The sequence below is a fragment of the Homo sapiens genome, chromosome 7, assembly GCF_000001405.40.
Source record: "Homo sapiens chromosome 7, GRCh38.p14 Primary Assembly".
Classification (NCBI taxonomy): Eukaryota; Metazoa; Chordata; class Mammalia; order Primates; family Hominidae; genus Homo; species Homo sapiens.
Window position 1 is genome coordinate 106,236,973 of NC_000007.14, and position 24,880 is coordinate 106,261,852.

The following is a 24,880-nucleotide window of genomic DNA, read 5'->3' on the forward strand; positions in this document are numbered from 1 at the left end:
ATGCTCCTTTACATCCGTACTCATCCATTTTTTCATCTGTAGAGTGGGGATGATGCTTACCATAGGTAGTTGTTGAGGGGATTAAGGAGGCCATTCATATACAGACCTTGCATGCCCACCTAGCACAAGGTTGGCACATATCAATTAACTTCTTCTCCTTCTAATCTTTCTTTATATAGGAAATAGCACAGAGTGCAAGTCAGTTTATTCACTGCATTCTGAAGCTCATCTGGTTGTAGCTGGAGCCCCTAAGTTTGGCTTAGGCACCAGCTTGACTTGGAGCTTCTTGAAGAACTATGATCTTGTGACTATATCAAGGTGGGTGATGCTATACTAGGTCAGTTTAGGTCAGGGTTTTTGGACTGCAGGTCATAACCATTAGTGGTTCAAGAAATCAATTTTATGAGCTGAAACCAGCATTAAGAAAAAAATAGGTAGAACAGAACTGCACAGAAGAGATCCAGCAATATCAGACTACATGGCACAAAGAGTTTCACTAATACACGTGTGTGTATGTGTGTGTGTGTCCTGGGTTGCAGTGTGAACCATGTTTCTTACTGAGGCTTGTGGTCAAAAAAGTAAAAACAAACAAACAAAAATTGTGGTCTAGAGGATGAAAGCTTTTGTTGAGGGAGTTCTAAATGCATGAAATCCAGGCTTTCTAAATGGTAAATTCCTGAAGACAGTTTCATGCTGCTTGTAGCCGTTTTGAAGGCCTGTCGGGGAATTATCTATTTGGACCTTTTCTGGGTAAAGCAGATGGAAATGTTGGTCCAGAATTCCTCACAAGGTGCAAATGACTGAGAGCTGCTTGATTCATTGAGGAGTTCCCACTGATCACTTTTGGCTGTAAAAAGCACCAGTATTTGGCTCGATGTAATAAGGAGGTGGAGGTATGGAGTGGAAGCGGGTGGAGAATGACATGTAGCTTGACCGGGGGGGTGGCGAAAGGTAGAAGTGAGACTTGTAGGTTTATGAAACTTCCTTTGCTCAACACATAACTGCTGAGTGTCTACCATGGGCCAGGCCTGTGCTCAGGCTCTAGGAATACACATTTAAATAGGTGAGGCATTCTTCCTGCCTTCATAGTATTTAGTGGTAGAAACCAATAAGGGCCTGCCATAGAAATAGTTTTATCCAGTGAGTTAAAATTTTTGCTTATCAAGACTTTAGGCTGGGCGTGGTGGCTCATGCCTGTAATCCTAGCACATTGGGAGACCAAGGCGAGTCGATCACCTGAGGTCAGCAGTTTGAGACCAGCCTGGCCAACATGGTGAAACACCATCTCTGTTAAAAATACAAAAATTAGCCAGGCATGGTGGCATGTGCCTGTAATCCCAGCTACTCAGGAGGCTGAGGCAGGAGAATCACTGGAACCCAGGAGGTGGAGGCTACAGTGAGCTGAGATGGCACCACTGCACTCCAGTCTGGGTGACAGAGCGAAAAAAAAGATTTTAAGTGTTCCTGGGCATAATATGGGACTGCAGTATGCTTTTAAACTATTTGTGCTATATATCATTTTATTCTCTGCCTCTAGTTTAAGAACTAGTTGAGAAAGAATGAGGTATTTCTCTCTTCTACATACATACCTATGAATACACCCATACATACACAATCATGCATATAGAAACACATATTCTCAAACAAAACGCTAAATTCAATTGCTTTTTGGTTCTGTGGCCCTGTTTTTTCAATGGGCCAGTGGTCCTCAATAGCAGAAAGCTCTCCTTGCCCACTCCAGGATTGAGAAAACCCCCTCATTCTCAGGAGTTGTGGACGCCCCACTCTCTGACTTACAAGACCAGAATTTGTGATTTTGTTTGTAGAAAATGCTTGTTGTGGTTACTTGATAATAAAATACATGCACATTATAAAGTGTTTGGACAGGTTAATAAATTTCCAGAGCCTGGAAATGATATACAGCTGTCTCCTTTTCCCACAGCTAAATCATTCTCCTTTTTGCTCCTGTAGGAAAAATACAGAGACCTTTCCTTCCCCAGGCAGGCTAGGGTGATGACAAGTTGTATAAACTTCACAGAACCATTGTTTGCCATCCGTTGTGCCTTGCTAAGCAGAAGGGAGAACACTACTAATGAAGTTTAGAATGGAGGTCATATGGTTTAGAAGGCACTTAGGGATGAAGTCTTGCATCCGTATTTGGGTAGTGGTTTACATAGAGCAGCGGTTCTCTACTGGAGATGATACGTGTTTAAAAATTCTTTGGTGGTTTATCTGAACTACACAGGCCCTTTGCACGGTCATATATCCTGGCATCTATCAAATTTTCAGGAGTACGTGTATGTGGTTCGGAAAAGCCCCACAGGTAATTCTGATCCTCTCCCTCCCTCCTCTACCTACTGATATAAAAGATAAAGCACCTAAACCCTGATAAAAGATACAGAGAATGGGTGTGAAAAATATAAAAACTGGAACACTCCACAGCAGGTACTATTTCTCAGAATGCATCTTTCCCTGCACTGAACAGTCCTCTGACAGTTCTAAATGTGGCATCCTGTGCAGCATTGTGATCTGAGGGCAGACAGAGCTCTTTGCCCAAGGCACATATTATCCCAAAAGCTTGGTAAATAAAGCCACAGCATTGTGCTGGAATGCTGTATCCTTTTAGAGTGCCACACGTTGTTGGCACACTGTTCTGGAGCCCAGTGATACAATGTGTTGTTTCAGCCAGCCCCGGTCAGAAACCCTGAGCAAACAAGTCATCTGACTGAAAGGAAAATGGCAGCAATTATTTCCAGTAAATTGCAAATTTAAAAATATTTCCGATGTTTTTGCATCTTGTTTTAGATGTGTCTCTTGTAAGTAGCAAATAGATTTTAAAATTTCTTTTAACTGATTTTTTTTTTTTTTTGGACAGAGTTTCGCTCTTGTCGCCCAGACTGGAGTGCAGTGGCGTGATCTCAGCTCACCACAACCTCTGCCTCCCAGGTTCAAGCAATTTTCTTGCCTCAGCCTCCTGAGTAGTGAGGATTACAGGCATGCACCACCAGGCCTGGCTAATTTTGTATTTTTAGTAGAAATGGGGTTTCTCCATGTTGGTCAGGCTGGTCTCGAACTCCCGACCTCAGGTGATCCGCCAGCCTCAGCCACCCCAAGTGCTGGGGTTACAGGCATGAGCCACCGTGCCTGGCCTTAACTGATTTTATGTGTGTGTGGGGGGGAATATGTGGATCATTCACATTAGGTATACAGAATTTATGTATCATTATCTTTATTGTTTTGGTATTTGTCCCACCTGTTGTTTTTTTGCCTGTCATTTTATTTTGAAATATTTTAACCATTCCACCACCTTTTCCTGTTAGTTTGAAAGTAACATACTTCATTTCTATGTCTACTAGCACAATGGAGTAAAATTAATCACTTTAACTTCCTCCTGACAATTGATATGTCTCAGAACACTTTTAATTCAATTTACCCTGCTTCTAATATATGCTATTCTTATATATTTTAAATATCGTTTAACTTGAATCCATAAGACGTTGGTTCACAATGTTTTAGTTTGCCCATACATACTTACTACTTTGACTGCTCTTTATTCTTTCATCCTTTAGAATCCCCTTTAGTGACAGCATGCTAGTGTTGAACTTTCAGGTTGTGGTGGTCTGAGTCTTTATTTCGTCCTCTTTCTGAGTTTTAGGGGAACAGGGTTCTCTGTTGGCAGTTATTTCCTTTCGGGACATTGCGCTGTCTTCTGGCTCCCAGTGCTGCTGTTGAGAGTTGAGTGGTCAGTCTCCTTCCTTAGGTTACGATCTTTTTTCCCTCTGGCTGCTTTTAGGATACTTTCTTTGTTACTTGTGATTTGCAGTTTCACCATAATGTGTCTGGATTTAAATCATCTTGCTTGGGATTCATTGAGCTTTAATCTTTAGATTGTTGCTTCTCATCAGTTCAGGTAAATCCTGAACCCTTCTCTCTTAAAATATAGCCTCCACTCCATGTTCTCTTTCCTCTTCTTCCATTGTTCTGATTAGACATATGTGAGGCCTTGTGTTTCATGTTGCTTAACTTTCATTCCATTTGCTTTGTGTTGCATTCTGAATTTCTTCTGACTTGCCTTCCAAGTCATTGGTGCCTTTATAGCTGTCTAATCTGATTGTTAATTTCAATTACTGAACTTTTGATTTTCACAAGTTCTATTAATCCCTGTAGCAAATTTGTAAGGCCTTTCAAAAATTTTCCTATTAGCTGCAGATGGATATTTAAGTGTACGCCTCATTTCTTTTTTCTTTTTTTTTTTGAGGCAGAGTGCACTCTGTTGCCCAGGCTGGAGTGTAGTGGGGCAATCTTGGCTCACTGCAACCTCTGCCTCACGGGTTCAAGTGATTCTCCTGCCTCAGCCTTTCCAGTAGCTGGGATTACAGGTATGCGTTACCACATCCAGCTAATTTTTGTATTTTTAGTAGAGATAGGGTCTCGCCATGTTGGCCTCAAACTCCTGACTGCAAGTGAGCATCCTGCCTCAGCCTCCCAGAATGCTGGGATTACAGACGTGAGCCACGGCAGCTGGTCTCATTTTTAAAAAATAAGCATAATGATTTTATGTTTCATAATTTCAGTATCTGAACCCTTGGTGAGTCATTTTTCTGCTGCTCTCATTCATGGTGTCTTGTTGCCTATGTGATTATTTTGTGAGCCGTTCATTTTCCTTAGAAAATTATTTTGAGAATTCTTTAAGGTGTAGGATGAAAGTATCCCTTCAGGGAGAATTTGCATTTACTTCTGTCAGGCATTTAGGGAACTCTGGACTCTGCCAGTCCTGTTTAAGTTTATAGTTTTAAGGTGTCTGTAATATGTAGGGGAGGTGAATTTGGACTGCAAGGCCAGCTTGCAATGTCAGTTGCTTAGATTTTTCTTGATTTGCTCAAGTTAAGCAACTTTTCTTGCAGTTCCTTAGAAGAGGTATGGGGATAGAGTACCACTGGTTCATCCTCATCATGTAGTGGAGGCTTTTGGGAGACCTGCTTTATGGCAGGAGGGTCTTTGATTTCTGTTCATCATGTCCTTTCAGGCCCTAAAAAGTGAAGCTCAAAGTCCCCAGGTTTGGTAAATACTCTAGGGCAAAAGCACCTTCAATGCTTTGTTACCTCTTGGGGTCCCATTTTCACTTGGATTTGACCTAGCCTGTTTATATTTCTGGAAACAGAATTTTCTAGTTATAAGAAAGAGAACCTCCTAGTTATAAAAATACAGAGAAAGTTTTTGTCAAAAGCTTGGCGTTGCTGGTTTGTATAGAAGATTCCTGGGTTTTATTCTTAATCTTCTTTCATCATATGGCCAGATTTCTTAATTTCACTTCCTAAGCTTGTTTCTCCACCTATAAAAAAGGGCATTTAAAATAGCCACTAATTTTGAAATCTGCATTAGTGAAGTCTGTAGAATCTTTGAGTGGAATTAAAATTATCTTTATGTTGACTTGTTGCAAAAACAATTTAAGGTAATTAAAACCTTAACATTACTAAGAATACTACTAGAAGTTCAAACAGAGGAACATTTGCTAGAAACAGCCCTGAAATCTAATCTCTGCTCTGTAATTAACTTAGAGTTCTCAGTGTGGCGCCTGTGAAACGAACCTCCTCAAATTTTAGGCAAACTTGTTGTTTATTCACAAGTGAGAATTTTTCTGAGAGGAGAGTCCATAGCTCTCATCAAATTCTCAGAAGTCTAAGACCCAAGAAAAGTTATGAACTACTGAACTACATACAAGGTAACGTTAGGCAAATAATTTAATTTCTTTATACCATAGCTTTCTAATCTGTTTTGATGAAACACCTATACTTCATGAATTTAAGAATTAAAAAAGACAGTAATATGTGAATATACTTTAAAAAAATTATCCACCTTTTTACAAAAGTACTTAAAAAATGTCGTTTCACTTTTTAAAAACACTAACATGTTCAGGGTACTAGTATTACAGAGAAGTTATCAAAACACCTTAAAAGTGTTTATTTTAATGACATTCATTTACTCAGCAGACATTTCAATGTCTACTATGTGCTGATGAAATATAGATGAATGTCTCATATAGGACACAGACCTTTGGACTGTAAATGCTAATTCTGAGATACATTCAACACCTACAGAGGCCAGAGGAAGGGCATGTGAGGTGGGGATGGCAGGTGAGTTGTTGAAGGCCTCTTGGAGGTGTTATCACTAAATTGAGTCCACCTTAAGGCACTGTCACCTAAAATAAGTACCACCTACAGGGAAGGCATTCCTGGCCAAGGACTTAGAATACACAAAGGCAGATAAATGGAGAAAATGGTGTACAGCATGTGTGCATGTGTGCGTCTAAGGTAGAGCAAATCAGTGATGCTGGACAGGAAATGAGGAGTGGACATGAGGCTATAAACGCAGCACAGGCCAGATCAGGGAGGGTCAGGCTGGATTCCGAGCAGCATCCTGCAGGCTAAAGGAACACTGAGGTGCTTTCAGCAGGGGACTGACACTCTGATTTTGTTAGAATACTCTGGTAGCAGAGTGGAGGGAGGCTGGATTGGAGTTAGGAAAACTAATTAGATAATTTCTGATTACAAGTTGAGTAATACAGAAATTACTTTCTGAAATGCTTGGGACCAGAAGTGTTTTAGATTTCAGATTTTGGAATATTTGCATTTACTTACTGGCTGAGCATCCCTAATTTGAAAATCTGAAATCCAAAATGCTTCTAAGGACATTTACTTTGAGTGTCATGTAGGCATACAAGACTTTATTCCATGTTCTGGAGCATTTCAGATTTTGGATCTGGGATGCTCAGCCTGTACTTCAGGAAGAAATTTGAGATTCTGAAATAAGAGTTGGAGAGAAGACACAGATTATAATGTTATTTAGTAGGTAAATCAATAGGATTATGTGGCCGATTAAATGTATAGGGTAATGGAGAGGGAAGTTTCATGTTGGGGGCTGCCTGAGCTGCCAAATGAGAGAATCAAAATAAATATAGTAAGTTCTGGGGGAATATGGTAAGCTTGGATTTGTTGCATCTGAGTGGAAATGTATCAGTGACAGGTAGAATGATTTAGAAGTCTGGGCTGGAGACATAAATGTGTGGAGGCTGTAGTAGATAGCTCATAGCTGACACCACGTGAATGGCTGACATCAGCCAAGATGAACATGGAGATAAATGGGATGTGTCAACATTTAAAAATGTGTGAAAAACAGACCGAGAGAGAAGGGACAGTCCACAGGGATTAGAAGACCCCAAAAGATCATAGAACAAAGTAGTAAAGAAATGAATTCTTAGTAGTGGCAAATGCAGGAGAGCCCTCAGATAATGTAATAACAAAATTTATTCATTTGGCAATTAGAAGGTCACTGCTTTGTCCAATAAGAGGTGAGAACCAGATGGAAGATAACTGAATGGGAGGTGAGGCAGTAAATGGAGAGAAGTCTGATGTAAATGGGAGAAGGGAGGCTAGAGCTGGTGTTATCAAGGGAGTTCTTTAAAAAAGGTGTGAGAAAAAGGAACATGTTTGTTAGCTGAAGAGGAAGGGCTGGAAAGCGAGAGGCTCAGAGATCTGGCAGAACAACTCTGGCGAGTCAGGAAGACCTAATCAGAATTAAACGTGTAGCCAATTCAAGAGAGTTTGTAAGCGAGATCGTTAATCCATCTCTATAAAAATTACAAAATGCCCATGCCTATGTCCTGAATGGTAATGCCTAGGTTTTCTTCTAGGGTTTTTATGGTTTTAGGTCTAACGTTTAAATCTTTAATCCATCTTGAATTGATTTTTGTATAAGGTGTAAGGAAGGGATCCAGTTTCAGCTTTCTACATATGGCTAGCCAGTTTTCCCAGCACCGTTTATTAAATAGGGAATCCTTTCCCCATTGCTTTTCTCAGGTTTGTCAAAGATCAGATAGTTGTAGGTATGCGGCGTTATTTCTGAGGGCTCTGTTCTGTTCCATTGATCTGTATCTCTGTTTTGGGACCAGTACCATGCTGTTTTGGTTACTGTAGCCTTGTAGTATAGTTTGAAGTCAGGTAGTGTGATGCCTCCAGCTTTGTTCTTTTGGCTTAGGATTGACTTGGCGATGCAGGCTCTTTTTTGGTTCCATATGAACTTTAAAGTAGTTTTTTCCAATTCTGTGAAGAAAGTCATTGGTAGCTTGATGGGGATGGCATTGAATCTGTAAATTACCTTGGGCAGTATGGCCATTTTCACGATATTGATTCTTCCTACCCATGAGCATGGAATGTTCTTCCATTTGTTTGTATCCTCTTTTATTTCCTTGAGCAGTGGTTTGTAGTTCTCCTTGAAGAGGTCCTTCACATCCCTTGTAAGTTGGATTCCTAGGTATTTTATTCTCTTTGAAGCAGTTGTGAATGGGAGTTCACTCATGATTTGGCTCTCTGTTTGTCTGTTGTTGGTGTATAAGAATGCTTGTGATTTTTGTACATTGATTTTGTATCCTGAGACTTTGCTGAAGTTGCTTATCAGCTTAAGGAGATTTTGGGCTGAGACAATGGGGTTTTCTAGATAAACAATCATGTCGTCTGCAAACAGGGACAATTTGACTTCCTCTTTTCCTAATTGAATACCCTTTATTTCCTTCTCCTGCCTGATTGCCCTGGCCAGAACTTCCAACACTATGTTGAATAGGAGTGGTGAGAGAGGGCATCCCTGTCTTGTGCCAGTTTTCAAAGGGAATGCTTCCAGTTTTTGCCCATTCAGTATGATATTGGCTGTGGGTTTGTCATAGATAGCTCTTATTATTTTGAAATACGTCCCATCAATACCTAATTTATTGAGAGTTTTTAGCATGAAGGGTTGTTGAATTTTGTCAAAGGCTTTTTCTGCATCTATTGAGATAATCATGTGGTTTTTGTCTTTGGCTCTGTTTATATGCTGGATTACATTTATTGATTTGCGTATATTGAACCAGCCTTGCATCCCAGGGATGAGGCCCACTTGATCATGGTGGATAAGCTTTTTGATGTGCTGCTGGATTCGGTTTGCCAGTATTTTATTGAGGATTTTTGCATCAATGTTCATCAAGGATATTGGTCTAAAATTCTCTTTTTTGGTTGTGTCTCTGCCCGGCTTTGCTATCAGAATGATGCTGGCCTCATAAAATGAGTTAGGGAGGATTCCCTCTTTTTCTATTGATTGGAATAGTTTCAGAAGGAATGGTACCAGTTCCTCCTTGTACCTCTGGTAGAATTCGGTTGTGAATCCATCTGGTCCTGGACTCTTTTTGGTTGGTAAACTATTGATTATTGCCACAATTTCAGCTCCTGTTATTGGTCTATTCAGAGATTCAACTTCTTCCTGGTTTAGTCTTGGGAGAGTGTATGTGTCGAGGAATGTATCCATTTCTTCTAGATTTTCCAGTTTATTTGCGTAGAGGTGTTTGTAGTATTCTCTGATGGTAGTTTGTATTTCTGTGGGATCGGTGGTGATATCCCCTTTATCATTTTTTATTGTGTCTATTTGATTCTCCTCTCTTTTTTTCTTTATTAGTCTTGCTAGCGGTCTATCAATTTTGTTGATCCTTTCAAAAAACCAGCTCCTGGATTCATTGATTTTTTGAAGGGTTTTTCGTGTCTCTATTTCCTTCAGTTCTGCTCTGATTTTAGTTATTTCTTGCCTTCTGCTAGCTTTTGAATGTGTTTGCTCTTGCTTTTCTAGTTCTTTTAATTGTGATGTTAGGGTGTCAATTTTGGATCTTTCCTGCTTTCTCTTGTGGGCATTTAGTGCTATAATTTTCCCTCTACACACTGCTTTGAATGCGTCCCAGAGATTCTGGTATGTTGTGTCTTTGTTCTCGTTGGTTTCAAAGAACATCTTTATTTCTGCCTTCATTTCGTTATGTACCCAGTAGTCGTTCAGGAGCAGGTTGTTCAGTTTCCATGTAGTTGAGCGGCTTTGAGTGAGATTCTTAATCCTGAGTTCTAGTTTGATTGCACTGTGGTCTGAGAGATAGTTTGTTATAATGCATTGCCTAGTTTATGTCAAAGAAATAACAGCTCAGTAGCCAATTACGGAATTTAAAAAATATATAAAGCAGGTCAGGATAACTGTGTTTCTAACTGAATTCTGCTGCTAACCATGAAAAATGGCGCTTCTCTGGGGTGAACATAAATGAATGAGTAATAAACCACGTACAAGTGGGATCTGGCCTCCGACTTTGTAGAAAACCAAAGTACACACCTGCTTCCATCTTCTCCTTTCTTCTAGAAGGACCCCTATCATTCAAGGCCAATACCCTACCAAGTGCTTTGGATCTTACCTTTCTCCACCTTCTCTGGAACCCCAAATCATCACTGATGTCTTTTTGCTTTTATTTTCAACTCCTCCCTCTTTCCTGGACCTTTTTCAGATGTAAGGCTACAGCTAGAAGGACAAAGATACTATTGCCTCATTCTCTCCTCCCTTTTCGCAACCCACATTCAAAGAGGTATATAAGGGAGCTTCTTTCAGAAATAAGCCTCTTCTACTACCTGGAAAGGAATGTGTCTAAGGCACCAATTATTTCCAGGTGGCTAAATCCAGTAGCTGTTTTAAATTCTTCATCCTATTTGATCTCTCAGCAGCATTCAACAGCTGGGCTGAAAAATGTTTCCTCTGGCTTTTGTGACTTCACTCCTTCTGGTTGGAACTTTCATCTCTTTAGCTATGCTTGTCATTTGGTCTGCTCATGTTCTGCCACTTAACCTTCAAGAGTTACTCATGGTTTAGCCCTAGATTCTCTTTATACTCTAGCAGAGATCAGCACACTTTTCCTGTGAAGGGCCTCACAGTAAACTATTTTAGTTTTTACAGCCATAATTTCTCTGTTGCAACTAATCAGTGTTGCCACTGTGGCAAGAAAACAGCCAAAGGCAGTAACTAAATAAATGGGTGTGGCTATGTTCCAATACAGTTATTTACAAAAACAGATGGTGGGCTGGATTTGGCTCATGGCGTGGGGTTTGCCAACTCCTGCTCTATACTATCCCTAGAAGAGTATCCTTTACTGTGTGCTTCCAAAGATGTATACCTTCCAAGGTATACATCAGTCATACCTTGAGGCCCTTCTGTCCACAAACCTGTATCATCAACTGCCTACTTAATACCTACATTTAGATATGTCAAAGGCGTCTCAAGCCTTAACACGGGAATCGTGCTCTTTCCTCTCAAATCTGATGTCCCTCCAGTGTTCTTCCTTAGTAAAAGGCACTGTCATCTATACAGTTGCACAAAGCAGAAAAGGAGTCAACTCTGACACTTGCCCTTCTCTCATCTTCTAATTCTTTGAACTGGAGGAATACTTAAAACAGGTAGGCCTGAAAATGGCATTACTTGAAGCACACAAATTTAACACTTCACTAATAGAGCTAAACTTTATTTCCATGTTTATTACATGTTTATAACTTGATGTTGAGTACATATTAGAATAGACTTAACATACAACTTGGGAGAAAAGCTGACATTCTCCACTGAATGGGTTAAAAAGGAATGTAAAACTACAAAATACTTAAGTGTGAGTTCTAAATTATGGCAAACAGAACAATAAATACCTTGCCATTTTTCTTTCTAATTTTCCAAGATAGATTTCATTATAAAAATTGTTTGATAACAATTTAAGAAGGGAAAACAAGGGATACTCATAAAAAACATTTTACTTTAATTATAGGGTACAAATAAGAGTCTTAACACAGAAATCCTACCTCCTATTTAAGATATAAATACTTGATGATATAATCAATCAAGAGGGATTAATTAATGTCAGTTGAAAATCTAATGACTTAAATCCATAAATGCCATTTGCTTTTGTCTGGAAGATTTAGACTGATTTAAGGGTGACACACAGCAGAGTTCTAGTGGACATTCGTGTTAACCGTTTGGTGCTCAGAATGGAGATGGCCAAATACCAAGTGCTTAGTGACAGAAAGTCAGAATTAATCAGTTCCAAGTGACTAAGAGCCAATAGAATTAATCTCCATCTCCTGATTTATGGTTGTGAACAAAGAGATAGCTTTTTTCACTGCAAATTTCTAAATTAAACTCTATTCTGAAGCTGCTGAAATTCACAGAACACAGAGAATACTGTCTGTACTATAATTTCAATGTTTAAACACAAAATTATGGGTGATTATCAAAACTATTATTGGTAATAGTTTCTTTTGATTCTTTACACGCCCCTTAGCACATTTTGTGAAGAAATGTGTGTTTTTCTTAATACTACTCATCTTTACTCAAATACATTAAAAAATCATTTTAAAATTATTTTATATCATGGATTACAGAAGACTTACTAAAAGTGAATAATGCTTATTGTTCTCACTACATGTTTAAAGAACCATCTGAAAAACATATTCTTTCTAATACCACTTACAAAAAACATTTAATGAAGATAACACTTCTAATTAGGTTATTCTAGTGATCATTTTCTCATGTAACTATTTAAAACAGATGATTTATGGCTTTTCAATTTTTAAAATTTCACATTTAATGTCATGTTAAAAACTTTTCTAAATCAGTCTTCCAGTATCGGATTCTTAAGTGAGAAAAAAGAAGACAAAAGAGGAAAATTCCGTATCAATTATTTAGCCTCCTCCCTTCCCTAGAAACCAACATTTCCTTTTAAATGCAAGGCACACTCCTTTTCTTAGAACAGAGATCAGGAAACTTTTTGTGTAATTTTGTGTAAAGGGCAGGTTAATAAACATTTTGGGCTTTGCGATTCTCATTTGGCTTCTATTGCAGCTGTTTACCTTAGGCTGGAGTAGTGGGAAAGCAGCCATAGACAATCTGCATTTATAAAAAGAAGTCCAAATTTGGCCTTTGGGCTATAGTTGGCCAACCGCTGCCTCAGAAGAACAGATCTACATACATAAAAGAATCATTCGAAAGAAACTGGTCTCTAGTCAGATGTGATGTATGATTCAGAATCTAGTAGCTAATCACTCTAGAACATTTTGATGTCAAGCACTTTGAATTTAGCCAACTTAAGATTCTTCTATTGAAACACATGTCATGCTTTTCATTGGAGATAATTTATCTTCATTTAAGAATGTGCTTCAGTATTACTTATTGAGGGCATTCAGTTTAAAATTAATAAATGATGTCCATACAATTTAATATCCAATTTAATTTTTTAAAAACTTAATAAAAAATATAACAGAATTGAAACATTTAAGTACACTCACTACCCACTCCAGTAATTCATTTAAGTCATACCAACTATAGAATATGAAAAATAAATTCAGAAGTGTAATTACTTTAAAATACACTACTTCCACTTTTGTAAGTATTTTACATTTATGTATATATTCTATAGTGGAAGCAGAAATTCTCTCTAAAAACATTATCTCCTTAAAATCTTGAGGTGCATATTAGAGCCACAGGCAATCTCTGACATATAAAATTGCAGTACAGGCCTTTCAAATTTGGCATTTCACTGGTACAATACAACAACCAAGATATATAATAACTGTACAGTGCCTAGACATTCCAGTAAGAACCATTATTTTCTTTAATGTAGAATGATTAATACATATTCTACAAGGGGCAGTAAGGTTAGTAATTCTATAGGGTATGTCCCGACATAATTTTCAAATTGTACAATAACACAAACAACTTTGTTAAGGCCATGTTTTATTTGCTGATTAATGGACAAAAGGCAATGTAATTTATTTTCAAGTATTTTCTTGAAAGTCTGTGCTCATAAAAATCATGAAAAGTTGGAAAGACTGTTAAATCACTGAAACTTCAAATATATCTTACACAATCTTGTTTGTACAAAAATACAAGTTAAATATAAACATAAAGCAATCATGGTAATTTTATGCAAATCTGTTTTATGTGATCATCAGTTATATATAAAAGTTTCTCAGTTCTGTTATTTGTGAAAAGATCAATACCAGATTGAATGACTACCTATTGGCAAAGGGCCCTAAAAAGCTTACTTTAGCACTCATCTTTTACATGGTTAAATGCATTTCCTAATTTGAGATCACCTAAACACTGGAAAAGAAAAAAAATGAAAGGGCAGTATGTCCATAAACCAACAAATAATTTGGCTGTAATGTATCATAAAACACAAACCCCACACATCTGTACAATAAACATTATGTATTACATACACACAACACACACCCAGTCATAAAGCCTAATGATGTGCTGCTTCCAGTTCAATATTCAGCTGTGCATTTTTTCTTATTTCATCAAATGAATAGCTTTTTGTCACCTTGCCATTCTTGAAGACAGTATGGAGAAGATCCTGCATAAATGGAAATTTCATGATTATATTACATTATTAAGCAAAATACCTGAATCCTGGTTTGATGAATTAGACTAACCAACCAGTCAAATACAGAGATGCCAATGGTGTTCAAATTGTGAGATGATTTGATGCATAAAAAATGCTAGTGGAACAAGGTACTATCTAAAATGGCCAATCACTGAGTTGCCTGGTATGTAGAAATATTTAACTTCTATGAAAAGGAATGACCTTAATACTACATTCTTAAACCAGTTTTCTTAAAGGAAAACCAAGAAACCTAGCTGACCAATCTTTTTTTTCCTCAGGCTGAAGGAAGATGCCTGGGTGCCTAGGGAGAACTGTAATCATTGTGAGTGTGCAGCAAAAAAGCCTGGTAAACCCTGCCTTGTTCCTGGCCAACAAACTCAACAGTGATTAAACTTATCAAATGGAAGTTTAAGAAATTTGCTAGTGCTAAATTTGGGTCTAGAAAACCCACAAAAAGCCAAAAGCCAATCCCAAAACAGAAACAAAGAAAAACAAGTATTGCATTCTTGACTAACACACAGTGACTGGGTTAAAGATTCTGTTTATACTCCAAAAGTCAATGACAAAGGTAATCCACTTCATCCATACAAGAGTAGCAAAGACAGATTGAAGAAATTAAATTCCCTTTGGGTCTGGTAGAGCCACTCCTGTCTCACTAAGGAGTTACCTGCTTCTGGTTTCTCTCTGAAAAATCCACAGAAGTAATCTCAATTTTCCACCTAGTCTGAAGATTGAGGTGCATATGACATTATCTAATATTTCTGTCATTGTGTTGCTTCAAACCACAGTGCTTTAGCTGTAGCATTTTCTTTCACAAATTTAAATTTAAGGGAATACTAGTTCCTACTCTTAAATCAAATTGCCTAGATGATTATGAATTATTTTCTAGTTTATTCTACTATCATTCACATACTCTTAAATCAGTGTCTTTTAAAAATCACACTTAGATTTTTACTTTTAGTTTGAAGTGACTTTAGCTCATCTAGGATAAACTAAATCTGCCAAAATCTTAGTAGGTACAAGAGTTACACAAAGCTTACTCAAATAATTGCCTAACAGGCTATATAAAGGGATCTAATTCTAAAAGTTTGATTTACAAACATATTTTTTCATTAACGGTAACAAAGTTATTTCAATTCTGGCTCAAAACCTTAATAAATGTAAAAGTAACATGTTATAAGCAGTAATTGTGATGTAGTATAAAGAATCAAAATAGGAAGTAATAGTGCACTCATGTTTAGTGTACTTTTTTCTAATAATATGAATATTCATGAATAGTTCTGTCTAAAGTTTTTTTTGATCAAGTGGCTTAAAAACCAAAAATTTTTTAACTTGAGTTCACAAATATAAATGTACTTTTGTATGCTAAAGACCATTAGATCATATGAACTACTTTAGTGTACTGTAAATTTTTCTAGTTTGGTTGATTTGAATCAGAAAACTTGGTTAAATCAAGGTTTCACCATTTATTATGTAATCCAAATCAAGTCACCTTGTTTTCACATTTTATATTAAAGTAACATAGTTTGCTTTTGGATAAAGTGTATACAAACTTGCTGTCAATCACTATACTTACGTAATATTTCTCCCTATGTATACACAGGCCCCGTGTTTATGACGTAGACACTTGTTTTGTATCTTATTTTGGTAGGCCAGGTCAGCAATTGGACATTTTATAATAAAATATAATACTTTGTCTTCCACAAAAACAATAACATAAAAACCTCCTTTCTTATTAATTTGGTGAGCCAACCTACTATTGCTTAAAAAAACCAATCAGCATAGATACATACCTGACCATATTCCTCAAGGTCTCCTTTTCCTTCCTCCAGTGTAACAAAATTCCCTGCTGGCGTCCTATGTAAAGATAATCGGCCCTTTTTGGACCTTTTGTTGGGATCAGCAACTGGGTCCTTGAAGACGTTAATCTGAAATCCAAATTAAGAAAGTTAGACAAGTAGAAGACTAATCATCAGAAATGTCTAAACACTCCCTTACAAAAAAGCACATACATAATTTACATTTAAGTTTTAAGCACTTAATAGGTATAACTGAACCAATCCACATCTGGCTTTCAGAAACATAACACTTTAGCCTGTTTTGAAGGATAGTCGTTTGTAATAAAGAAAAAGTATGACATCTTGGATATCCTTTTTGCCACTGAAGAACACCTAATACTCCATTTGTAGGAAGTCTGTGAGCATTCTAACATGTGACCCTTAAGGTATCTCTTTATATTACAAACTGCCTTTAAACTGACAGTAAGCACAGCATGTACATGCTGTTGAAGAAAAGCCCAACTATACCAACTACGCCAAAACCACACACACAATCTTTGGAGAGGGAACAAGAGTATTACTAAGGTAAAGGCTTTCCTATTTCATAACGTATCCCTCTTTTGGTACTTTTTACTTTTGCCTTGTTATTGTCAGAAGCAAAAGTCTTAGAGAACCTGAAGACAGCAGAGTGTTTCTACATCAGAAAGGTAGGCAGCAAAGAAACAGAAACAAGTGGCAGTGGAACAAGCAGCAACAAATGAGTCAATCCCAGAACTTTCCAAAGAAAGATCAAAGAGTGAAGCAGGGAATCAACTCAGGTGTTCTTAATTCTTAGCATCCTCCTGCCTCTGTCCCTTGCTCTATAGAATCTCCAGCTCTCAAGACGTTACAAAGAAGCAAGGGGGGTTGTTGTTCACTTGCCTAGCTGTTCTATGGCTACTAGAACATGACTGTGGTATAACAATCCAAACCTCATATTCTACCTTCCTGTAACAGTTTGGTCAGTGATTATATACTTGCTTGTCTTTAATATATGATGGCTAGGTAAGCTGACATTCCTACTCAAATATTACTTTTTGATCTAAAGGTAAAAACGGCAGTGGGAAATGACTGACCTGTATTATCTCTCTTAAATAATCTTTTTCCTTATTGTTCTTCCTTTTTCCAAATCTCTGTCTCCTTAGGTCTGTTATTACCTAATATCTCCCTTCTTTCCTTGTTTCTGAGTTAAGGTCAGTAGTACCCAACAACATATTAACAGTCCACGGCCACATCAATCTTTGACAAATGCACTCAATAACCACATTCTACCTAGATACATAAGGAAGGTAGTAACACAGAAGTAATTAAAAGGTGACATACCCCAAGGCCATTAGTTACAACATAGCTACACTTGAAGGAACAATTCAAGAGATCTCTTGTCAACTTCTGTAGCAAACCTCCACCAGAACCGAAGGCAATATTTTCAATACTCCACATTTTTTGTTTCATGCCTTCTACAATCTAGAAGATTAAAACAAAACAAAACCAAACCAAACCTTAATTTGGAAGAGAATGGAGATTATTTTCAAGGGACAATATTGATGAATGAAGCATCCAAGACTGTTTTATAACACGGTCAATAAATAATTATAGCCCGCATTTTGTTTTTAAAGACCCACCCACCCCCAAAAGATGGATATGTGTGGAAGGAGAGGATTTCATGCATAGTTCCTGAATCTGCATTGCTGTCACTGTGGTTCTGGTAGGATTCGGGGAGTGAAGGAAATGAGAGAAAGTGAGAAAAAACTAGCTATAAATATCTAAGATTACTTGAGTCAACTTCTCTCATTCACCTCGTTAAGTTATTGTCCAGATCTCAGCAACACAAGCAATGGGAGCCAATTTACTAGACTCTAGGAATGACTGTAATCATCACCAATAAGTCACAATACACTGTATAATTACATGTCATATGTAATGGAACATGTAAGAATCAAAGATATTGGTGGCAAAAGAGTATAAAATACTTCTCCTATATAACAGTTGGTATACTGGTAGAGTCATTTTATTCTGGCTGATATACCAGTGCCAGAAACAAAATTATGCACAGGTGCTGTGGGTGTTAAGATTACTGTATCATTTTTGGGAGAATGATTAGTTATAAACCAGCTAGAGAGACCTGTATGAACAGTTCTAAAAGAGTTCTTTCAAGGGACATACAACTTTAAAGATGTGTTTATTACCAATGTCATTTGTATTTCTTTCACCAAAGTCAAGTTTATTTACCTAGCATCTGCCTTAATATATTCAATCACTTTGATGATAGAATGTGGCAAGTGAAGTTTGGTAACCATTTATTTCATGAGAATAGTCAAACAGAAAGCAACTGGAAAGGCTGACTCTGTTTTAAACAGAACTTTCAGAAGTTATTAGAAAATCATAAGTGTAACAGCCTTATGTGTATCAAAGTTACCACATTCTCACCAAATAGTCTCAAATTGACTTTTTTAATAGTCTCGAATTGACTTTCTTTGTTTTCAACACTGCAAAGGAAAAAACCCAACAAATCCCAAGCAACTTCATTTTTAAACAAATCTACATTTAGAAATGCAACTTTCTTTTTAAATGCCAACCATCTAATTTGAATCAAGATGAATCTAGAAGAATCAAGATGAAAACATATAAAACTTATTTAAAAGTGATTCTTTTAGGATGCACGCAAATCCAGTCTCATGTCTTTATTGTACCTGAACCTAAAGGTACCCAAGGCCCCTGAGTTCAGGTTTTCCTTTAAATAATTGTGAACAAAGTGAATTTCAATACAGAAGAAATGCAAAGAGTAGAACAGAAAAGGGGAAGAAAAGGGAAACAGGTAGATGGAGGGTAAGGTAAAATATAGAGAAAATAGTTTCTGACCTGTCACCTCATTTTAGATATGCTTCAGAGGCAAAAACAAAATGAGGAAATAACAAAGAACAGTATCATCTAATATCATATCACTGTATTTCAGGCCAAGTTTCTTTACCAAAAGTTTTAAAATTTAGACAATTTGGAGTTAAAGTGAATTTTGAGTCTGGGAAGAAAAACATTTAATACATGTGAGACTTCAAAGAAAGCTTCCTCTTGCCAACTCTGATAATGCAATACTATGTTAATATTTTAATAAATCACTCCAATAGAAGTTTCAATGATACCCAAGAAGACTGAATCCATAACTGAAACACAACAGAAAAAGAAGATAGGCGCTCTGTATTTTGTCCAACACAAAAGATATTTTTATTTTCCTAAATAAGCAGTTTCATTTTGGTACACAGTGCAAAGTGAAAACTTAGAGCAGGTTTACACTGTCAACCTCATGGGAATTCACAGGGGTGACAGGCTGAATAGCAAAGTCCAAGAGTGAGGCTGACGTCAAGGAAGAAAACAATTGTTGCAAATAAAGCAGATTTTTCATTTTATCAAAATTACAGCATCTAATTTAGTATACAAAGCAAAACTGAATTCTTTTTCCTGCTTCTAAGAACATATTTTTCATACCAATGAATGTAAAGAAATTACAAGTACAGATGGTCACAAACATACAATGGTTCAACTTAACAACGGTGCAAAAGTGATTCGCATTCAGTGGAACATCAATAAATTACTTGAGATATTCAACACTTTACTATAAAATAGGTTTTGTGTTAGATGACTGCTCAACTGTAGGCTACTAAGTGTTCTGAGCACCTGTAGGGTAAGGGAGGCTAAACTACGAGGTCTAGTAGGTTAGGTATAATAAATGCATTTTCCACTTAACGTTTTCAACTTAAAAATGGGTTTATTGAGACACAACCCCATGCTAAGTTGAGAGGAACATCTGTATTATCCTTTAGGTACACCAACAGGCCCAGCTTTTTAAAGGTATTTTTCTGGCCAGGCGCAATGGCTCACGCCTGTAATCCCAGCACTTTGGGAGGCCGAGGCAGGCAGATCACCTGAGGTCAGCAGTTCGAGACCAGCCTGGCTAACATGGTGAAACCCTATTTCTACTAAAAATCCAAAAAGTAGCCGGGCGTGGTGGCACACGCCCGTAATCCCAGCTACCCGAGAAGCAGAGGTTGCAGTGAGCTGAGATTGTGCCACTGCACTCCAGCTTGGGCAACAAGAGCAAAACTCCATCTCAAAAAAAAAAAAGAGAAAAAGATATTTTTCCTTCCTGAGTACATCTGCATTAACACAAAACGATTCAATCCTCTAATTGTTCTGTTTAAGTTTCACTAATGCCAAAGAGTATTTATCTCAATATTCTTGTTTATGTAGTTTATTCATGTACAGTTTTGGGCTGATTCTCAACTATACAGATGCACATACAGGCTGGGAATGGTGGCTCACACCTGTAATCTCAGCACTTTAGGAGGCCTGAGTCAAGGAGTTCGAGGCCAAACAGTTGAGACTGTTTCCCAGACTGGGAAACAGTGAGACCCCCATCTCTACAAAACATTAAAAAAAAAAAAAAAAAAGAGTCAGGTGTGGTGGCACACACTTGCAGTCCCAGCTCCTCAGGAGGCTGAGGTGGGAGGACCACCTGACCCTGGGAGGTTGAGGCTGCAGTGAGCTGTGACTGCACCACTGCACTAAGCCTGGGTGACAGACTGAGTCCCTGTCAAAAAAAAAAAATCGCACATACATTCCTAAAGTTTATATAAACAAGGAAAGAAAAGAAGGAAAAGAAAGCCGAAGAGCTTTGATTTTTGAAAGGAAAGTTTTGAGTACCTGACTGAACACCCAACTTGAACTCCGTTCAACTTGCCTGAACAATCCAACAGCTGACTGCTGGAACAAGGAAAGGTAGGCACAGCAACAGGCAGGCTAATGGGATTTCTGAAACAGATACAGTACCCTGCCATGTTCTTTCACCTGCAAGGGGGAGGGGTGTGTGTGTGTGTCTGTGTATACACGTAAGTGCTAAAGTGCCTGAAAGGCACCTGGGAACAGTACTTAACTGACACCAAGGTAAGAGACTGTCAGTTCAGCTGAGCTAAGGGGAAAACGGCAATTAGGTGTGTCAGCTGAGATTGCTATGTGTAAGGTCCTCCCCCTTCTCCCTGCAGACTTTTCTTCTATTTCTTTTTTCCTTTCCACATGAAAGCCCCTATGTCCCAACACCAAATGTCTTAGCTGAAGGAATTCCCACTTCTCTTAAGCAAGGCAGTTTGGAAGAGGTAGTGGAAGAAACCTCATCTCTGTTATTACAAGAGATCTATTCCGGACGCCTCATATTGGAACTCTAAATACACCATCACCGCAGAAATACTGTTTGATTTGGAAGTGAGAAGTATTATGTACAACAATCTTTGGAAAACTACTATAATTTGGGTACTGACCTTACTCTATCTCCACCAAACTCTTTCGAACAGAAAAAAACTTGTGTTTCATAGCTGTAGATACCATCTGAGATTCGTATACATCAAAATGTCAGTGGTTTCTGAATGCAAATGGCCTACATTATGTTAGTGATATTCTACAGAGTATTTTAGGTGTTATGATGAAATTATGGCCCTTAAGAACCTTATTTAGTAAACGAGGCAAAAATTTTAAGACAATACAGGCATACTTTGAAAATACTGTGGGCTTGCTTCCAGACCACTGCAATAAAGCAAGTCACGGGAATTTTTTGATTTCCCATTGCATATAAAAGTTATGTTTATACTACATTGTAGTCTATTAAGTGTGCAATAGCATTATGTCTTAAAAATACATACCTTAATTAAAAATACTTCATTGCTAAATAATGCTAATGGTCACTTGAGCCTTCAGTGAGTCATCTTTTTGTTGGTGGAGGGTCTTGCCCTGTTGTTGATGGCTGCTGACTGATCAGGGTTGCTGAAGGTTTTGGGGTGACTGTGGCAATGCCTTAAAATGACAACAATGAAGTTTGTCACGTCAATTGACTCTATCACGAAAGATTTATCTGTAGCTTGCGATGCTGTTTGGTACGATAGCGTTCACCCACACAAGAACTTCTTTCAAAATTGGGAGTGCATCCTCTCAAACCCTGCTTTGGTTTTATCAACTGATTTTACTGATATTCGAAGTCCTTTGTTGTCATTTCAACGATGTTCACAGCATCTTTGCCAGCAGTAGATTTCATCTCAAGAAACCACTTTCTGTATCCACCCATATGAAGCAAATCCTCATCTGTTCAAGTTTAATCATGAGACTGCAGCAATTCAGTCAGATCTTCAGGCTCCACCACTTCTAGTTATCTAGCTATTTCTACCACATTTGTAGTTACTTCCTCCACTGAAGTCTTGAAGTCAAATCAAGACTCAGTTATCTGTGAAGGTTGGAATCAATTTCTTCCAAACTCCTGTTAATGCTGACATTTTAACGTCCTCCCATGAAGCATGATGTTCTTAAATGGCATCTAGAATGGTGAACCCTTTCAGCTACAGACTTAAGAATATATTTCTTCTTTTTTTTGAGACGGAGTTTCACTCTGTTGCCCAGGCTGGAGTGCAGTGGCGTGATCTTGGCACACTACAGCCTCTGCCTCCCTTCAAGCAATTCTCCTGCCTCAGCCTCCTGAGTAGCTGGGACTACAGGCATGCATTGCCCCACCCAGCTAATTTTTGTATTTTTAGTAGAGACGGGGTTTCACCACGTTGGCCAGGATGATCTTGATCTCCTGATTGCGTGATCTGCCTGTCTCGGTCTCCCAAAGTGTGGGATTACAGGCGTGAGCCACCACACCCGGCCAAGAATATATTTCCTAAATAATAGCATCTGAAATTACTCTTTGATGGATAGGCTGTCGAACGGACGTTGTGTTAGCAGGCATGAAAAACAACATTAACCTCTTTGTACATCTCCATCAGATCTCAGATGCCATCTGCAATGATATTTCGAAACAATCTTTTTTTTTTTTTTTTTTCCTGAGCAGTCGGTCCCAACAGTGGGCTTAAAATACTCAGTACACTATGATGTAAACAGACATGCTGTCATCCAGGCTTTGTTGTTCCATTTATAAAGCACAGGCAGAGTAGATTCAGCAAATTCTAAGGGTCCTAGGATTATCAGAATGATAAATGAGCACTAGCTTCCACTTAAAAGTGACCAGCTGCATTATCCACTAATGAGAGTTAGCATGTCCTTTCAAAGCAGATGTTGTCTTCTCTCTAGTTATGAAAGTCCTAGACGGCACCTTCTTCCAATGGAAGGCTGTTTCCTCTACACTGACAATCTGTTTAGTCACCTGCATCAATGATCTTAGCTAGATCTTCTGGGTAACTTGCAGCAGCTTCTACATCAGCACTTGCTGCTTCATTCTGCACTCATGGAGATGGCTTCTTTCCCTAAACCACAGGAACCAACCTCTGCTAGCTTCCAATTTTTCTTCTGCAGCTTCATCACCTCTCTTAGGCTTCACAGAATTGAAACGAGGGCCTTGCTCTGGATTAGGCTTTAGCCTAAGGAAATGTTGTGGTTGCTTTGATCTTCTATTCAGACCATTCAAACTTTCTCCCTAGCAGCAATAAAGCTGTTTCACTTTCTTATTCATATGCTTAGTGGAGTAGCACTTTGATTTTTCTTCAAGAACTTTTCCTTTGCATTCACAACTTGGCCTACTGTTTGCCTTAAGAGGCCTATTTTAGCTTTCAGCATGCCTTCCTCACTAAACTTAATCATGTCTAGGTTTTGATTTAAAATGAGAGGGATGTGACTTTTCCATTCACTTGAATACTCAGAGGCCACTGTGGGGTTATTAATTGACCTAATTTAAATACTGTTGTGTCTCAGGGCATAGGGAAACTTGAAGTGAGCAGAGAAAGGGAATGGGTAACTGGTGAAGGAGTCACAACACACACAGTATTTATCAATTAAGTTCACTGCCTTATCTGGGTGTGCCCTGTGGTGCCCTAAAACAATCACAGTAGTAACATCGAAGATCACTAATCACAGATCACCATAACAGATATAATGACAAAGTCTGAAATATTGTGAGAATTTACCAGTATGTGTCACACAGACATGAAGTGAATACATGTTGGAAAAATAGCACCAACAGACTTGCTCAACACAGGGTGGCCACAACCTTCAATTTGTAAAAAAATGCAATGTTTGCAAAGCACAATAAAATGAGGTACGCCTGCATAACACTTATACTATCTGGCTAAATCTAATACTGATGACAGTCAATGCTTAATTTAGAAGAGGTGGCAGCTATTCTATAATTTCTGAAAAAGCACCCATTAATATTATGAGTTTTACAGATTTGTGAAGCTCCAGTCTATGAAAACTCAGACCTATGCCAGCAGAGTCAAGGCTTTGTTTTATATTCCAAGGAATATTTCTTGACTGACATTTCCTTGTTTCACAATGATACTTCTTTAGATTCATCATTCAGGGTGGCCAATGACAACTGGAAGAGTAAGTATGGCTTGGCTGGCACCTCTGTATTTTAAACTACTATTATTTCTAAACTTTAAGCAATGCACAGAGATTTATACCAACATAAACACTTACAAAGACTTAAAATTGTATTTATATTGTGTTCTTTATCAAACATAAACAAACTTAATTATAAGAAATGCCTTATTGAAACTTTTAATATAAAACACATACCTCTTGTAAGGTATTAATATCTACTCCATCCCCTTGAATAACTCTAAGATAAGGTGGCAGCAACTTGTAACCCTTTGAGTTCTCAGTAACAGGAAACTTCTTACCTAAAATCTCCAAAACCTATATGGAAAAATACACATGCAACACAAATAACTAAAGCTGAAAACAAGTATAAGAGCTTTTCAAAGTTAAATGATTTTGCTTTGATAATCGAGAATATAAAAATTAACTACTTTAAAAATTTTATAACACTATGTATATGCTC

The 24,880-nt window shown here is 37.8% G+C and overlaps 1 protein-coding gene across 2 annotated transcripts in view, besides 2 other annotated features; it reads right to left on the reverse strand.

Annotated features, from left to right (window-relative positions):
- Nucleotides 1–11,325: 11,325 nt before the first annotated feature.
- NAMPT (nicotinamide phosphoribosyltransferase) overlaps nucleotides 11,326–24,880 on the reverse strand; it is a 37,591-nt gene continuing 24,036 nt past the window's right edge. For both annotated transcript variants that reach the window (XM_047419699.1, NM_005746.3), the window contains 4 exons: nucleotides 24,616–24,735; nucleotides 17,392–17,532; nucleotides 16,045–16,179; nucleotides 11,326–14,221 (listed from right to left, as the gene is read on the reverse strand). In XM_047419699.1, coding sequence (XP_047275655.1) covers nucleotides 14,111–14,221; nucleotides 16,045–16,179; nucleotides 17,392–17,532; nucleotides 24,616–24,735 — 507 coding nt within the window. In that variant the 3' untranslated portion in view covers nucleotides 11,326–14,110. The remainder of the gene's footprint in view (nucleotides 14,222–16,044; nucleotides 16,180–17,391; nucleotides 17,533–24,615; nucleotides 24,736–24,880) is intronic.
- Nucleotides 23,028–23,554: an enhancer, noted in NCBI's record as "NANOG hESC enhancer chr7:105900446-105900972 (GRCh37/hg19 assembly coordinates)". NCBI's record gives its function as "activates a minimal SCP1, AML or CMV promoter by ChIP-STARR-seq in naive H9 embryonic stem cells {active_cell/tissue: H9 hESC(naive)}" and the evidence as "EXISTENCE:reporter gene assay evidence [ECO:0000049][PMID:30033119]".
- Nucleotides 23,555–24,079: an enhancer, noted in NCBI's record as "NANOG hESC enhancer chr7:105900973-105901497 (GRCh37/hg19 assembly coordinates)". NCBI's record gives its function as "activates a minimal SCP1, AML or CMV promoter by ChIP-STARR-seq in naive H9 embryonic stem cells {active_cell/tissue: H9 hESC(naive)}" and the evidence as "EXISTENCE:reporter gene assay evidence [ECO:0000049][PMID:30033119]".